Source organism: Homo sapiens, chromosome 1 (genome assembly GCF_000001405.40).
Source record: "Homo sapiens chromosome 1, GRCh38.p14 Primary Assembly".
NCBI classification, from domain to species: Eukaryota; Metazoa; Chordata; class Mammalia; order Primates; family Hominidae; genus Homo; species Homo sapiens.
In genome coordinates this window covers 32,004,408-32,021,110 of record NC_000001.11, presented here as the reverse complement: position 1 = coordinate 32,021,110, position 16,703 = coordinate 32,004,408, and the positions used below count along the sequence as shown (strand labels likewise).

General features: G+C 47.8%; 1 protein-coding gene across 5 annotated transcripts in view, besides 5 other annotated features; it reads right to left on the bottom strand.

Annotated features, from left to right (window-relative positions):
• Window positions 1-7,243, bottom strand: part of KHDRBS1 (KH RNA binding domain containing, signal transduction associated 1) — a 46,983-nt gene extending 39,740 nt beyond the window's left edge. For all 5 annotated transcript variants that reach the window (NR_073499.2, XR_007066502.1, NR_073498.2 and 2 more), the window contains exon 1: window positions 6,734-7,243. Coding sequence is in view for 2 of the 5 variants with exons in the window: in NM_006559.3 (NP_006550.1) it covers window positions 6,734-7,115 (382 nt within the window). In the remaining 3 variants the exon portion in view is untranslated. The remainder of the gene's footprint in view (window positions 1-6,733) is intronic.
• Window positions 6,235-6,344: a silencer, noted in NCBI's record as "silent region_583". NCBI's record gives its function as "represses an Ori minimal core promoter by ATAC-STARR-seq in GM12878 lymphoblastoid cells {active_cell/tissue: GM12878}" and the evidence as "EXISTENCE:reporter gene assay evidence [ECO:0000049][PMID:35858748]".
• Window positions 6,438-7,008: an enhancer, noted in NCBI's record as "H3K27ac hESC enhancer chr1:32479704-32480274 (GRCh37/hg19 assembly coordinates)". NCBI's record gives its function as "activates a minimal SCP1, AML or CMV promoter by ChIP-STARR-seq in naive H9 embryonic stem cells {active_cell/tissue: H9 hESC(naive)}" and the evidence as "EXISTENCE:reporter gene assay evidence [ECO:0000049][PMID:30033119]".
• Window positions 6,438-7,034: a biological region, named in NCBI's record as "H3K27ac hESC enhancer GRCh37_chr1:32479704-32480274".
• Window positions 6,825-7,034: a silencer, noted in NCBI's record as "silent region_582". NCBI's record gives its function as "represses an Ori minimal core promoter by ATAC-STARR-seq in GM12878 lymphoblastoid cells {active_cell/tissue: GM12878}" and the evidence as "EXISTENCE:reporter gene assay evidence [ECO:0000049][PMID:35858748]".
• Window positions 12,334-12,893: an enhancer, noted in NCBI's record as "OCT4-NANOG-H3K4me1 hESC enhancer chr1:32473819-32474378 (GRCh37/hg19 assembly coordinates)". NCBI's record gives its function as "activates a minimal SCP1, AML or CMV promoter by ChIP-STARR-seq in naive H9 embryonic stem cells {active_cell/tissue: H9 hESC(naive)}" and the evidence as "EXISTENCE:reporter gene assay evidence [ECO:0000049][PMID:30033119]".

The window sequence follows — 16,703 nt, the reverse complement described above, 5'->3', positions numbered from 1 at the left end:
AATTTTAGATTTATATGCAGTTCTAAGAAATAACAGAGATCCTGTATACTTTAGTTTTCCCCATAACATTTTGCATATCTGTATCACAATCAGAAAATTAACATTAAAATAAGAAAATTTGTTGTACAGGTTTCATGGAAAAAAAATTAACAATTGACTTTATTAGGATTTCACCACCTTTACATGTACTTGTTTGCTTAGTTCTATGCAATTTAATCAGACTCATGTGACCACCACCTCAGTCAAGATACAGAACAGTTCCATCATGAGGATCCTTACCCTTTGATAGCCAGTCACCGTTTTCCCTCATCTCTCACCACTGGCAACCACTAATATAGTCTTCATCTCCACTATTCTGTTTCTTCAAGAATGTTATATTAATGAAATCATATAGTATGTAACCTTTTGAGATTGGCTTTCTTCACTCAGCTTAATTCTCTTGTGATCAAGCAAGTTGCTGCATTTATTAACAGTTCCTTTTTTTTTTTTTTTTTATTGCACAGTACTGTTCCACTGTATGGGTGTGCCAGTTTATTGGAGGCATTTGGTTTGTTTCCAGTTTTTGGCTACTATGAATAAAGCTGCTGTGAACATTCATGTACAGGTTTTGTGTTGAGTTTTAATTTCCCTGAAATAAATACCCAAGAATGCAACTGTTGAACGATACGGTAAGCACGTTTTTTTTTTGAGACAGGATCTCACTGTTGCCCAAGCTGGAGTGCAGTGGCACGATCTCAGCTCAAGGCAGCCTCGACCTCCTGGGTTCAAGCGATTCTTCCACCTCAGCCTAAGACCAATCTCCTGGGTTCAAGTGATCCTTCTGCTTCAGGCTCCCGGGTAGTTGGGACTATGGGTGTGTGCCGCCATTCTCAGCTAATTTTTAAATTTTCTGTAGAGACAAGCTCTCACTAGGGCTCAAGCAATCCTCTCACCTTGGCCTCCCAAAGTCCTGGGATTACAGGCATGAGCCACCATGCCCAGCCAATAAGCACATTTAGTTTTGTAAAAAACAAAAAACAAACAAACAAACAAAACCTGCATTGGGCTGGGCATGGTGGCTCACACCTGTAACACAGGCACTTTGGGAGGCTGAAGAGGGAGGATCATGGTCAGGAATTTGAGACCAGCCTGGCCAACACGGTGAAACCCCATCTCTACTAAAAATACAAAAATCAGCCGGGCATGGTGGTGGGCGCCTGTAATCCCACCTACTCGGGAGGCTGAGGCAGGAGAACTGCTTGAAACCGAAAGGTAGAGGTAGCAGTCAGCCAAGATCGCGCCACTGCACTCCAGCGTGAGCGACAGAGCGAGACTCAATCTCAAAACAAACAAACAAACAAAAAAACAAAACCTGCAATATCACAGATAAATGTATACTTAATGATATTCTGCTTTATCTTACTAGGCTTTGTTTTATAGAAATAGTATTATACTGTATGTAGTCTTATGGGATGTACTTTCTTCATATAACATTAGATTTTGGAGATTTCTCCATGTTGTTGCCTGCAGCTATAGTTCATCCATTTTCACTGCTGTACAAATATTTTCTTTTTCTTTCTTTCTTTCTTTTTGTTTTTTTTTGAGATTGAGTTTCACTTGTTGGCTAGATCTCAGCTCACTGCAACCTCTGTCTCCCGGGTTTCAGCAATTCTCCTGCCTCAGCCTTCCAAGTAGCCGGCATTACAGGCACCTGCCACCACGCCCAACTAATTTTTGTATTTTTAGTAAAGACAGGGTTTCACCATGTTGGTCAGGCTGGTCTTAAACTCCTGACCTCAGTTAATCCACCCGCCTCTGCCTCCCAAAATGCTGGGATTACAGGCGTGAGAAACTGTGCCCAGCCAAATATTTTCTGTTGTAAATCTATCACATTATCCAATGAATGGTGAAACAAGTTGCAATGTTTTGTGAACAAGGTACACCATTTCATGAATCAAGTGCTCATGTATAAGTTTCTTTGAGCATATTCCTAGAAAAGGTGTTGCTGGTTTTTTGTTTGTTTGTTTGTTTTTTAAGACAGAGTCTCGCTCTGTCGCCCAGGCTGGAGTGCAGTGGCGGCGCAATCTCGGCTCACTGCAAACTCCACCTCCTGGGTTCAAGTGATTCTCCTGCCTCAGCCTCCTGAGTAGCTGGAATTACAGGCTCCCGAGTAGCTAGGATTACAGGCACGTGCCACCACACCCAGCTATCTTTTGTATTTTTAGTAGAGACAGGGTTTCACCATGTTGGTCAGACTGGTCTCGAACTTCTGACCTCAAGTGATCCGACTGCCTTGGCATCCCAAAGTGCTGGGATTACAGGCATGGGCCACCGCACCTGGCCTTACTCTCCAGTTTGTTTGTTTGTTTGTTTTTGAGACGGAGTCTCACTCTGTCCCCCAGGCTGGAGTGCAGTGGCGCGATCTCGGCTCACTGCAAACTCCGCCTCCCGGGTTCACGCCATTCTCCTGCCTCAGCCTCCCCAGTAGCTGGGACTACAGGCGCCCGCCACTGCGCCCGGCTAATTTTTTTGTATCTTTTAGTAGAGACGGGGTTTCACTGTGTTAGCCAGGATGGTCTTGATCTCCTGACCTCGTGATCCACCCGCCTCGGCCTCCCAACGTGCTGGGATTACAGGCGTGAGCCACCGCACCCGGCCTGTTTGCTTTTTTGAGACGGAGTCTCACACTGTCGCCCAGGCTGGAGTGCAGTGGTGCGATCTTGGCTCACTGCAACCTCCGTCTCCTGAGTTCAAATGATCTTCCTGCCTTAGCCTCCTGAGTAGCTGGGATTACAGGCGCCCACCACCACACCAGGGGTAATTTTTTGTATTTTTAGTAGAGACAGGGTTTCACCACGTTGGCCAGGCTGGTCTCGAACTCCTGACCTCGTGCTTTGCCTGCCTCGGCCTCCCAAAGTGCTGGGATTACAGGCATGAGCCACCAGGCCCGGCCCTTATTTTCCAGTTTTAAAAGCAGGTTTTGCTAGCCCTGTAGAATGAACTGGGAAGGTCTTAATGTATTTCTAGAGAATACTGTAAATAAAGGAATTAACTATTTTGAAGTTTCAACAGACTTTGTAAATGTTTTCCACTGTATGCTTTTGAAGGATGGATTTTTGAGTATCTCTCCAAGATCTTTTGCAGATTGCTAATCTATTCAAAATGTTTATTCTTGAGTCACTTATACTAACTTGTATTTCCCTAATTGTAGAAAGTAGAAAAATAGGCCGGGCGCAGTGGCTCATGCCTGTAATTCCAGCACTTTGGGAGGCCGAGGCAGGCGGATCACCTGAGGTCGGGAGTTTGAGACCAGCCTGACCAACATGGAGAAACCCCGTCTCTACTAAAAATACGAAATTAGCCGGGCGTGGTGGCACATGCCTATAATCCCAGCTACCAGGGAAGCTGAGGCAGGAGAATTGCTTGAACCTGGGAGGTGGAGGTTGCGGTGAGCCAAGATCGCGCCATTGCACTCCAGCCTGGGCAACAAAAGTGCAACTCCGTCTCAAAAAAAAAAAAAAAAAAAAAAAAGTAGAAAAAGAACACTGGTATCTATACAACAGCATTTTACTTACTATATAAATATATTAACACAATAAGGTAAATTATTTCTCTTCCAGAAAACAAAGATAGATGATTGAATCCTTATGTCTGCAGACACATTCGAATATATACAACAGCATTTTACTTAGTATATAAATATATTAACACAATAAGGTAAATTATTTCTCTTCCAGAAAACAAAGATGGATGATTGAATCCTTATGTCTGCAGATACATTCGACAGTCATCACAGCTGAATATCAATCTGGCTAACATAGAAGTCTACATTCAAAATCTACATCCCTCAAAATTTTGTCTTTTTTTTTTTTTTGAGACGGAGTCTTGCTTCTTCACCCAGGCTGGAGTGCAATGGTGCAATCTGGGCTCACTGTAACCTCCAACTCCCGGTTTCAAGTGATTCTCCTGCCTCAGCCTCCCAAGTAGCTGGGATTACAGGCATGTGCCACCACGCCCGGCTAATTTTTGTATTTTTGGTAGAGACGGGGTTTCACCATGTTGGCCAGGCTGGTCTTGAACTCCTGACCTCAAGTGATCCGTCTGCCTCAGCCTCCCAAAGTGTTGGGATTATAGGTGTGAGCCACCGTGCACGGCTGTCATCATTTTTTCATCAGTCCCATCTTCAATGAAGGTGAATATGTATTATTTCGTGAAATATTTAATAAGAGGCCACTCTGTGCAGCACTCTTCAAGGCATAGAAGATACAACGGTGAACAAAGTAGACAAAAGATTCCTGCGCTCTGGTGGAGCTGACATTCTAGCCATGGAGAATGGGTAATCAACAAACAAATACTGTACATAACGACAATATAGTGCAACAGATGCTGATAGTGAAAAATAAAGTAAACCCAGGAAAGGAAGAGGAGAGCTGTGTAGGTGGTACAGGAAGAGTGCTCAGGGTCTCACGGTACCTTATTGGGAATGGTCAAAGGTGCCTGGAGGAGCCACAGTCCCAAGCAGTAGACTCTGCTCTCTGGTTTCCTTTCTGTATCTTAGCCTTATCATCTTCACTGCCCTGTTAACACTGTGATACTTTCAAATATACTTTTTTTTTTTTGGTCACCTATCATCCCAGATAGATTTTAATATTTTGTCCAACTATAGCTTAAAGTACAATTTGCAGCAGGCACTATAGTGAGGGAACGGGGAAGGTGTGTAGACTGACCAAAAATCCTGGTTACGATGCTTACTAATTTTGTTACCTTAGGCAAATTATTAATCTCTGGGTGTCTTGGTTTCCTCATCTGTATAAGTGAGGATAATAAAAGTAAGTTCTCATTTCATTTTATAGGTTAAATATTTAATGTAAAGTGCTCAGACCTCAAACATTAAGTGTTAGCTATATTTTTCTTCCGTGTGTTCTTTTCTTTTTTTTTTTTTTTTCCTTTTTTGAGATGGAGTTTAGCTCTTGTTGCCCAGGCTGGAGTGTAATGGCGCAATCTGGGCTCCCTGCAACCTTCGCTTCCCAGGTTCAAGTGATTTTCCTGCCTCAGCTTCCAAAGTAGCTGGGATCACAGGCGTGCGCCACCACGCGAAGCTAATTTTGTATTTTTAGTAGAGACGGGGTTTCACCATGTTGATCAGGCTGGTCTCCAACTCCTGACCTCGCGATCAGCCCGTCTCGGCCTCCCAAAGTGCTGGGATTACAGGCGTGAGCCACCGCGCCTGCCCCTTCCATGTGATCTTACCAGAGCTTAAATACTACTATTCTATCTTCTCAAAGTCTCACTTCCGCACAATGGGTTGTGACTTCACTGCAATCCCCTTGCAAGATAATTCAGAAATACCTTAAAAGCCAGGCTCAACATATATTAACACTTATCCATGCTAGAAAGAATTCATACATCCCAAACCAACAGTAACCTCAATCACATTTCTCCAATTTCAGTTGGGTTTAAAAAAAATACATCCAGAAAGCCCAAGTTAAAAATAAAGAGCACTCTCTTAGTTAAGCAGTGAGGGGAGACTGAAAATTAAAAGTAACTTTTAAGGATCAACAGTTTTTGACAGTTATCTTAAGAAAGCATAAAAGATGAACACCACACTGGTAAAGATCCCTTACCTTACAGTGTTGGGAGACAGAGAACAAAGGGAGGGAGATAATATTTTCATAATGAACTGTCCATTATATTAACCTTGCCAAAGAGTCCAACTACTCATTCAGTGTTGAAGGATGTGAATTTTTACTTGCTTAGTAAAATTTAGGTATCATAAAAAATATTAAAATAATATTTTAACTAGAAGCGAAAGTCAGACAGCTTTAGGGAAAAATCAGAGCGACTAGGTGATTGGCCAGTGCTGATGAGGAAAAGAGCGCTAACCTACAGAACAAAGACTCTCATTTCTAATCTATTTCACTACTGAATCAAAAATGTAAAAAACAGCAACAAAAAGGCCAAGCCTTTCAGTACAAGCATCATGCAACTTCTCTCAATTTCTGTCCATCTCGTTGGGAAACGTCATGTGAACTACGCGGGAGTCCCTATCGTCCCATTTCACTGTCTCTAGGGTTACTTCACTCCTTCAACGACAGTGAACACACGGTGTAAAATGGCTCAGTAGCAATTCTTATTTTATCAGCCTTAGTCGGAAATCTGATTCGGAAACCTCAAGCTCCGATCCACATAAATCGCTCCTTCCTCCCAGCAACTTAAGCTGCGGTTACCGCTAAGTCCGGCTCGGCCCCAGCGACAGCAAGGCACTGGACAGGGCATTCCAGCCTCACCCCACCTCACCTCGGCCCTTCCTCCCACGGTCCCTCCCCGCTCTGGCTGTCTTCACCTCCTACACCTCGGTCGAGGCGCTCATCGCCACCCGCGATCAAAAAGGGTTTCCCTTCAGGGAAAGGGGGAAATGAAGGTTCATTTCTGGAAGAATCTGCGCGCCCGGCAGCCGCAAGAGGAGGGAGGAGGGAAGAGTCGGGAAAGGGGCGGGGAGCTCAGCACTATCCATCAAGACATTAGCGCTAGGGGATCGCAAAGTCGCCTTCGGGCCTCCACTGCAGCCTAGAAATTCTCCCACGCACTCCGGGCTGAGGTGGGAATGTGGAATCCAGGCTCCCAAAAATGAGGATGAGACCGGAACTCCCGACTGCCTCGGTCCCGAGGGGGCGGGAAGCGAGAGGAACAAAGCCAGGGCCACTCATGCCCGGGATGGCCGGGCGACCCAGAGGGACACGGGAGGCCCCCTTACCTGCCGTCAGCAGCTGCATGGCGTGAGTGAAGGACGGGTCGAGCGAGTCCTTCTCGGCCATGAGTTCGGGCAGGTACTTGTTCTCTGGCTCCATCTTGACCGAGGCTGTGGCCGAGGGGGGCAGCAGCGGGGTCGGCGCTGGCCCGCCCACTGTCGCGTCGGGACCCGTGGCCGAGGGCGGCAGCAGCGGTGGCGGCTGCGTGGCGGGCGAGGCCCGGGCGCCCCCGCGGGATCCCCCTCCGCCTCCCCGGGACCGGTGAGGCAGCGGCGGCTGCCGAGACGGCGTCTGACGCACCGAGGGGTGGGCACCGGAGGGGTCCATGGAGCCGCTACGGCCCGAAGACCGGCTCATGCGCGCGGCGGGGTCGTCCCGGCGCTGCATCTGGGAGGATGTGCGATCCAAGGAGCGAGAAAGCGACGCGGCAGCGACGGAGGCCCGAGCGGCGGTTGGCGGGGGTGGCAGAGCGGGAGCGGTAGCGACCGAAGCCGACCCGAGCGACCCAGCGAGAGAGAGCACCGGAAATGAGGCGGCGCGCGTGCGCAGCCAGCCACCGGCACCGCCCTTGGGTTTCTCCGCGGAGAACAAAGTCCCCAGTCCGGCCACGGCGCCTGCGCACCGCCGCGGCGTCCGAGAAGTCGCCTCCCGACTCTGGCTTTCCCTCCGCTCCCGCCAGGCCAGAGCTTGATGCGCATGCGCGGGAGGCAGTGGGCTCCGTTCGTTTCGTTTTCCACGTGACTCGGCGCTAGCGGAACACGTGTCTCCTCCCCTTTCTGGCGTGGAGGGGGCGGGAGCTGTGGAATGTCTTTGTCTGCGCGCGGGCCCGCGGAGTGTGGGGCGGGAGACCTGTTACTCGCGGGGCCACGCCCTCTCCAACGGCTGAGCAGTGGAGGGAGGCTGTGGGGAGTGGGGTGGGGGGCGGTCACCGAAGTAAGGAAGTAAAAGACTGCCGAGAGGGTCACGGAAAGGGGAGGGAGAGAGAATTGAGACCGCCTGGGGAGGAAGACAGGAGTGAGACAGACTGCACAGGGAGAAAGGAAGGCTGAGGGAGAGTCTGATGCAGGGGGAAAGTTGGGGAAGGGAAACCTGGAGGGAGAAATTGAGGAAGGACGGCTTGGTGGAAACACTGAAGGCGATTGGAGTACTTGAACTAAGAGGGATGGTTCAGATCAGAGATCTGAAGTCTAGCAAAGAAAAGGGTCCCAGACATCAGGGAACACAAGAAGTTGTTTCCAGTATATATATTTCCAGTATTACATATATTCCAGTCGGTTCTAAAACGGTTGACATTGTTGGTACGGGAAATCTTAAGCAGCATTTTAGCTCTTTTTACATATTTTACTGCTTTTTCTGAATTGTGTTTGTTTTGTTTCGCCGTCATTATTGCCAATTAAGTGTTTCTTCCTTCAAAAAGTGAGGTAGAGACCAGATCCTTAATCCACGTTGGTTGCATCATTAGGATGGCTTCTTCTACCACTCCAGACTTGCTCAAAGAGACCCTTGCCACTACTCTCAAAGGCAAGGTACATAGTGGACAGTCGCCTACGACGTTCTCCACATCCTGGTGTGCTATATGCAAGTGGAGCCTTAGGTCCCTACTTGTCCCATAAGCCATCAAAAGCCTGGTGCCCTCTCTAACTTTCCCTTCCCTCCGCAGATTATTTTCTTCTTCCATTTAAAGCACTCACTCCCATCTCTTTTCCTTCTGGATTAGTTCTCCTAATGAGCCCACACTTTTCAAAAGTCTTTGGGGACCGGTGCGGTGGCTTATGCCTGTAATCCCAGCACTTTGGGAGGCCTAGGTGGGAGGATTACTTGAGGCTAGGAGTTCGAGAGCAGCCTGGACAATATAATGAGACCTCATCTCTACAATAAAAAAAGTTTCCGCCCGGCTTGGTGGCTCATGCCTGTGATCCCAACACTTTGGGAGGCCGAGGTGGGCAAATCACCTGAGGCCAGGAGTTCGAGACCAACTTGGCCAACATGATGAAACCCCATCTTTACTAAAAATATAAAAATTAGCCGGGTGTGGTGGTGCATACCTGTAATCCCAGCTACTTGGGAGGCTGAGGCAGGAGAATTGCTTGAACCAGGGACGCGGAGGCTGCCGTGAGCCGAGATCACGCCACTGCACTCCAGCCTGGGCAACAGAGCGAGACTACGTCTCAAAAAAAAAAAAAAAGGAAAAAAAGGTTTATTTGGAAATTGTCTTCTGAGTGCCTGGAAACTTGATTTTTGGATGTGAAGCTTAGAACCCTTTAACTAGAGAACCTAAAGGCCTTCTTTAAGGGGTTAAGGGAGAGGATTTCCAAATTACCCACAGAAATGAAAACAAAACACGTATCTACATAAATTATATATATATAATATAAAATATAGGCCAGATGCGATGGCTCATGCTTGTAATCCCAGCACTTTGGGAAACCGAGGCGGGCAGATCACAAGGTCAAGAGATCGAGACCATCCTGGCCAACATTGTGAAACCCCGTCTCTACTAAAAATACAAAAATTAGCTGGGTGTGGTGGTGTGCCTGTAGTCCCAGCTACTCAGGAGGCTGAGGCAGAAGAATCGCTTGAACCCAGGAGGCGGAGGTTGCAGTGAGCTGAGATTGCAGCACTGCACTCCAGCCTGGGGGACAGTGCGAGACTCTGTCTTGGGAAAAAAAAGAAAGAAAGAAAGAAATTAGCTGAGTGTGGTGGCGTGCACCTGTTGTCCCCAGCTACTTGAGAGACTGAGGTGGGAAGATTGCTGCTTGAGCCTGGGAAATTGAGACTACAGTGAGCAACGACTGCCCCACTGCACTCAGCCTGGACGACAGAGTGAGACCTTGTCTCAAAAAAAAAAAAAAAAAAAAAAAAAAAAAAAAAAAAAAGGCCAGTGCGGTGGCCCACTCCTGTAATCCCAGCACTTTGGGAGGCCAAAGTGGGTAGATCACCTGAGGTCAGGAGTTCAAGACCAGCCTGGCTAATACAGTGAAACCCCATCTCTACTAAAAACATAAAAAAGTTAGCTGAACGTGGTGGCATGCACCTGTAATCCCAGCTACTTGGGAGGCTGAGGCAGAAGAATTGCTTGAACCCGGGAGGTGGAGGTTACAGTGAGCCGAGATCGCGCCACACTGCACTCCAGCCTGGGCAACAGAGTCAGACTCCGTGTCAAAAAGAAAAAAGAAACGAAAAAATTAAGTGCTGTTGGAGTTCAATGCAGAAGATAGATTTTGGCCAAGGAAGAATAAGTTCCAGGCAAAGGGAAGTGGAATAAATGAGCAGAGATGAGAACGTGGGAAATGTGTTCAGGGAATGGGAGTAATCCAGTGTCAGACTTGAAGGAATAGGTGGGTTGAGAGAGCAACTGCATGAAGAGGGGGGAAGGGGCAAGGAGAATTTACAGTTCCTTTGCAACTCATTTCCACTGCCACCCTTGAAGATCCTTCTTGAGTGGTGGTGTTACAAATGGCTGAAGCGTCCTTGCCCTGTAATGAGATGCCCAAATAGAGATCCCTTGAGCTGAGGCTAATAAAACTTTGATAAAGGTTTGTCTGAGAAGGAGCTGGGTAGTGGTATCTATGGCCTTTCTAGACTAGAATCAACAGTTACTGCATATGTATATCAAAACATGTTGTAGCCATACCTATATACAATTTTAAAAACACTGGAAACAAAACAAAAAATAACCCTCAGTCTTTCTGGGTGCTTGCCAGATCTTTACTTGCTTTCCCTGAGAGTAGGCTGAGCGGGAGAGATGTGCTCTTCTTCCAGGCGAGAACCCTAAAGGTAATCTCAGGCCAAGAGTGGTTGAGGTTGCGGTGTATGTATCCACTAAGTGATGCAGCAGCCTTCTATTTTGGGGGCCCTTCTCAGGGTAGGGAAGAGTAATTTCTGCTCTGAAAGCCTAGAAGTCTGGAGTTTATTTTGTGTTCACCACAGTATGCTGCCCCAGGTCCACCTGAAGGTTAACAACCATGTGAAAAGACTAACGTTGGAGTGGGGCAAATTCAAACAACCCGGCAATGCCTTGTCCTCACTGTGTATCATTTGGAAGACCTCTGAAACTTAGTTTTCTCTTCTATAAAGTGGGGTAATGCCATCTACCTTGAAGGCTTATTGTGAACATTAACAAATATCAGTGTAAACCTCCTGATAGTAGGGCTTATAAACAGAAGTAATCACTATTATACCCTTTAGTACCTGATGAAGATTTGTGGGTGCTTTATGTTGGCTATGGATCTGAAAGTCCTACTCTCTCTCTCCTTTTTTTTTTTTTTTTTTTTTTTTTTGAGATGGAGTCTTGCTCTGTCACCCAGGCTGGAGTGCAGTGGCAGGATCTCAGCTCACTACAAGCTCCACCTCCTGGGTTCACGCCATTCTCCTGCCTCAGCCTCCCGGGTAGCTGGGACTACAGCTCACCACCATGCCCAGCTAATTTTTTTGTATTTTTAGTAGAGACAGTGTTTCACCGTGTTAGCCAGGATGGTCTCGATCTCCTGACCTCATGATCCGCCCGCCTCAGCCTCCCAAAGTGCTGGGGTTACAGGCATGAGCCACCGCGCCTGGCCAAGTCCTACTCTCTAATCTGTATAATTTTCACTGAGTATAGCTAGGCTTGTTTTGGGGGGAGGAGGAGGTTCCAAAAAGAGCAAGTTTCTTCTACCCTTAATCCAGTTACTATGGTATAGGATACAGCAGCAGTGCATAATGGTTCAGATGGAGGTTGGTAGCTCTGCCTCTTACCTGCTGGGTGATTGAGCACAGTGTTTTGCTTTGCTGCATTAGTCAGGATTCTTTAGAGAGACAGAATAAATACAGTATATAGATAGATGTACACATTCAAGAGGGGACTTGTGAGGGCAATTGGTTCACATGATTATGGAGGCTGAGAAGTCCCATTGGAGGCCTTCTGCAAGCTGGAGACCCTGGCAAGCCGGTCGTGTGGCTCAGTCCAAATCTGAGATCCTCAGAACCAAGGAAGCCAGTGGTGTGATGCTTAGAGGATGAAGGCCTGAGAACCCAGGGGCTGCTGGTGTAAGTCCTGGAGTCCAAGGGCTGAAGAGCATGGGGATCTAATGTCTAAGGACAGGAGAAGAAGAGTGTCCTAGCTCCAGGAAGAGAGACAGGAAATCCCTTCTTTGCCTTTTGTGTTCATTCTGGGCCCTAGCCCATTAGCTGGCGCCCGCCCACATTGAGGGCGGATCTGTACCATTCAGTCCACTCACAGGCCACTCTCTTCTGGGAACACACTCACAGACACACCCAGAAATAATGCTTTATCAGTCCTCTGGGTATTCCTTAATCCGGTGAAGTTGACACCGAAAATTAACCATCACACTAGCTCAGACTCCTCTTCCCTCTCCTTGATAAAACAGAGATGGCCGGGCGCGGTGGCTCACGCCTGTAATCCCAGCACTTTGGGAGGCCAAGGCGGGTGGATCATGAGTTCAGGAGTTCGAGACCAGCTTGGCCAACATGGTGAAACCCCCATCTCTACTAAAAGTAAAAAAATTAGCCGGACGTGGTGGTGCGCACCTGTAATCCCAGCTACTCGGGAACCTGAGGCAGGAGAATCGTTGGACCCTGGGAGGCGGAGGTTGCAGTGAGCCGAGATCGCGCCACTGCACTCCAGTCTGGGCGACAGAGCAAGACTCTGTCTCAAAACAAACAAACAAACAAACAAACCAAAAACAGAGGATATAACAATGCCTGCCCCAGGGCTGTTAGGGTTAACACATACAGGGTTAACATGATAGTATCTATAAAGCACTTAGCACAGAGGCTGGCAATTAGTAGGTACTTCATAAGCAATATTGGCCATTGTTATGATCACCACACACATTTATTGAGTACCCTACTGCAGACTTTCACTTTCACATGAATCCCTACGGGAATGACTAGAAGGACTGAAACTTGCCTAGAGCTCCTGACCTGTGTGATCTCAGCAGGTGGGAGATCTGCAGGCCCCATCTACCTCTCCTGCATTGCAGCCAGTTCCCAGGAGACAAAAGGCCCCAGCCCTGGGCAGGAGAGTTTCTCTTCCAAGAGTGTAGTTCAGGTGGCGCGGTGGCTCATGCCTGTAATCCCAGCACTTTGGGAGGCTGAGGCTGGTGGATCACAAAGTCAGGAGTTCAAGACCAGGCTAGCCACGATGGTGAAACCCCGTCTCTACTAAAAATACAAAAATTAGTTGGGCGTGGTGGTGGGTGTCTGTAATCCCAGCTACTCGGGAGGCTGAGGCAGAGAATTGCTGAAACCCACGAGATGGAGGTTGCAGTGAGCCGAGATCACACCACTGCATTCCAGCCTGGGTGACACAGCGAGACTGTCAAAAAAAAAAAAAAAAAAAAGAAAAGAAAAAGAAAAAGAAAAGAAAGGAAAAGAAAAAAAGTGTAGTTCATTTGTTCAATTTTAAACACCTACTTGGTGCCAAATATGTGGAGGGAAGGGGAAGGAGATGGGGAGACCAAAATTCAACATTAAGAGAAAGTCCCTACTCTCAAGGAGACAAATATGTAAATCAAGTTGCCATGTAGAATGAAAGGTGTTGTAATAGAAGACTGTGCAGAGACACATAGGTATGCACAGGAGAGAGTGACTGACCAACTGCCCAGATGAGGTAGGAAAGCTGAGTATTTGGGAAGTGGCCAGGTGGAGGGAGGGCCAGGGCATTTAAATGTTGGGAGTTCAGCAAAGCTTGGTCCTGTGCCGGTACTCCTTCCTCCATGTTTACAGCTCTGGAATTCAGATCTCCAACTCAAACTTCTGAATTCCAAATCCAGAAAGCCAATTGCATCCCTGACATCCTCATCTGGATGTCTCAGAGGCTCCTCAAACTCAACATGTCCCCAGTAGAACCCAAACTGCAGGCATTAGCGGTGCTGCTCTGGGCCCAGCTCCCCTTTCATGGAACTTTTCCTCTCTCCGGCCTGCTCCAGCGCAGAAAGAGAACATGGGGCCCGCAGATTTGAAGGAGTCACTCACTTTGAGGCTTGCCCTTTGCCACCCTCATAATAGTCTGAGTCCTGCCCACAGGGTCATCAGGCACTCCCACAGTAGGCACCTTTGGTAGGGGCAGAGGGGATCAGAGCAAGGCTGATGTGACCAGTGATAGCCTTGTGTGAAAAGTCCCTAGAGAAATCCCAGAAATACTTGAAGGAGACTTTGCTGGGGCAAGAACAGGAACTTGGGATGATTAGCATTCACGTGGCTTTGTTTGAATCCACAGACCACTGAGGCTTGTGTGATGTTTGCATTATAATCATCTTTTTTTTTTTTTTCCTGCCTGTCCTGCTAACCAGAAAGTGAGCTGCTTGCCAGGTGCAGTGGGTCACATCTGCAATCCCAGCACTTTGGGAGGCCAAGGCAGGCAGATCACCTGAGGTCAGGAGTTTTTAGACCAGCCTGGCCAACATGGTGAAACCCCATATCTACTAAAAATACAAAAATTAGCCAGGTGTGGTTGTGGGCGCCAGTAATCCCAGCTACTCGGGAGGCTGAGGCAGGAGAATCGCTTGAACCCAAGAGGTGGAGGTTGCAGTGAACCGAGATTGCATCACTGCACTCCAGCCTGGGCGACAGAGCGAGACTTCATCTAAAATAATAATAATAATAATAATAAATAAAAAATAAAAATTACCCAGGCATGGTGGCGGGCACCTGTAATCCCAGCTATTTGGGAGGCTGAGGCAGGAGAATCGCTTGAACCTGGGAGGTGGAGGTTACAGTGAGCCAAGATCGCGTCATTGCACTCCAGCCTGGGCAACAAGAGTGAAACTCCATTTCAAAAATAAATAAATAGATAGGCTGGGCGCAGTGGCTCCCAATCCCAGCACTTTGGGAGGCTGAGGTGGGTGGATCAGCTGAGGTCAGGAGTTCGAGACGAGTCTGGCCAACATGGCAAAACCCCGTCTCTACTAAAACTACAAAAATTAGCCAGGTGTGGTGGCACCTGCCTTTAATCCCAGCTACACGGGATGCTGAGGCAGGAGAATTGCTTGAACCTGGGAGGTGGAGGTTGCAGTGAGCCGAGATCGCACCACTGCACTCCAGCCTGGGTTACAGAGAAAGACTGTCTCAAAATAAATAAATAAATAAACAAACAAACTCCCACTCTGCCCTTTGCCACTGACCTGCTCCTCCTCAGTGTCTGTATCTTAGGGAACAGCACCCCTAACTCACTGCACACCCTGGATATCTGAGACTTGTTCTGACTTCCCTCCTCTGCCTCATCACTCTACCCCCACCACATACAAACCATTCTTAAGTCCTTTGTTGCTTACCTCATAAATACTGAAAATCCCATCCACATTTCTCTGTCTCCCCTGCCTCTGCCTCCAGCTGAAGTGCCATAATGCCTCTCTTGAACTTCTGCCACCTCTGACCTGGTCCCCTACTTCCACTCCTTTTCCCCTTTTCTATTTTCAACCCAGAAGCCAGAATAGTATTTTTCCTATTGCCTTTAGGATAAAGACCTGAGTCCTGTTAACATGTTTGACCTGCCCCTACCTGTATGCCTTTCTTTTCTTTTTTTATAGAGATCGGGTCTCACTGTATTGCCCAGGCTGGAATGCAGTGGCGCCATCATAGCTCACTGCAGCCTCCAACTCCTGGCCTCAAATGATCCTCCTTCCTCAGCCTCCCAAGTAGCTGGGACTACAGGTGCTACTGTGCCCAGCTACACATGGCTTTCTTACCTCATCTCATGCCATTCTCCTCCCTGGTTCCTGTGCTTAGCAACCCTGGCCTTTTTCAGTTCCTCAAATAAGCCAGACTCCTGCTTCCTCTCGACCACACCCATTCTGGTTCCTTAGCTTAAAACTCCAATCACTGTCCCCCTTCCTCCAATCCAGTCCCTTGTCTTTTCTTTCTTTAGCTACTCCTCTTTTCTTTAGCTACTGTAATTCCTATATATTCTTCCGATATAGTCAATTGCCACTTCTTCAGGGAAGGTGTCCAGGCCCCCTAGTGCAGATTGGCTTAGCTCCCTTTGTTACATGCTTTCATGGCTCCTTCCTAAAACAGCACCTTTTAAATTTACCTCTTTGGGGCTGGATGTGGTGGCTCATTCCTGTAATCCCAGCATTTTGGGAGGCCAAGGTGGGTGGATTACTTGAGCTCAGGAGTTCGAGACCAGCCTGGGCAACATGGCGAAACCCTGTCTCTACCAAAAAAAAAAAAAAAAAAAAATTCACTGGGTGTAGTGATGTGAGCCTGTGGTCCCAGCTACTTGGGAGGCTAAGGTGGGAGGATTGCTTGAGCCCAGGAGGTGGAGGTTGCGGTGAGCCGAGCTCATGCCACTGTACTCCATCTTGGGTGACAGAGTGATACCCCATCTCAAAAAAAAAAAAAAAAAAACCACACAAAAATTTACCTCTTTGTGATTATTTGAGTAACCTCCATCTCTGCAACTCAAATGTAAGCTCTATGAGAGCAGGAACTTTGTTTCTGGTGTTTAAGGTTATGTCCCCAGCACAGTGCTGGTCTGGATTGGCTGATCAGTAAATATTTGTTGACTCAATGAATATCAATAGGAACAGCACATGCAAAGACAACAAAACTTTACAAAACTTGGTGTGGGTCCCTGGAATGGCAAGTTGCGGGATATGAGCTAGATTTGGATGAGTGGGGAGGGGCTCATGGAAGATGGCAGGAGATAAGGCCAAAAGGTAGTCTGAGCCGGGCGGGCTGGCTCACGCCTGTAATCCCAGCACTTTGGGAGGCGGAGGCGGGTGGATCACGAGGTCAGGAGATTGAGACCATCCTGGCTAACATGGTGAAACCCCGTCTCTACTAAAAATACAAAAAAAATTAGCCGGGCGCGGTGGCGGGCGCCTGTAGTCCCAGCTACTCAGGAGGCTGAGGCAGGAGAATGGCGTGAACCCGGGAGGCGGAGCTTGCAGTGAGCCAAGATCGCGCCACTGCACTCCAGCCTGGGTGACAGAGCGAGACTCCGTCTCAAAAAAAAAAAAAGGTAGTCTGAGT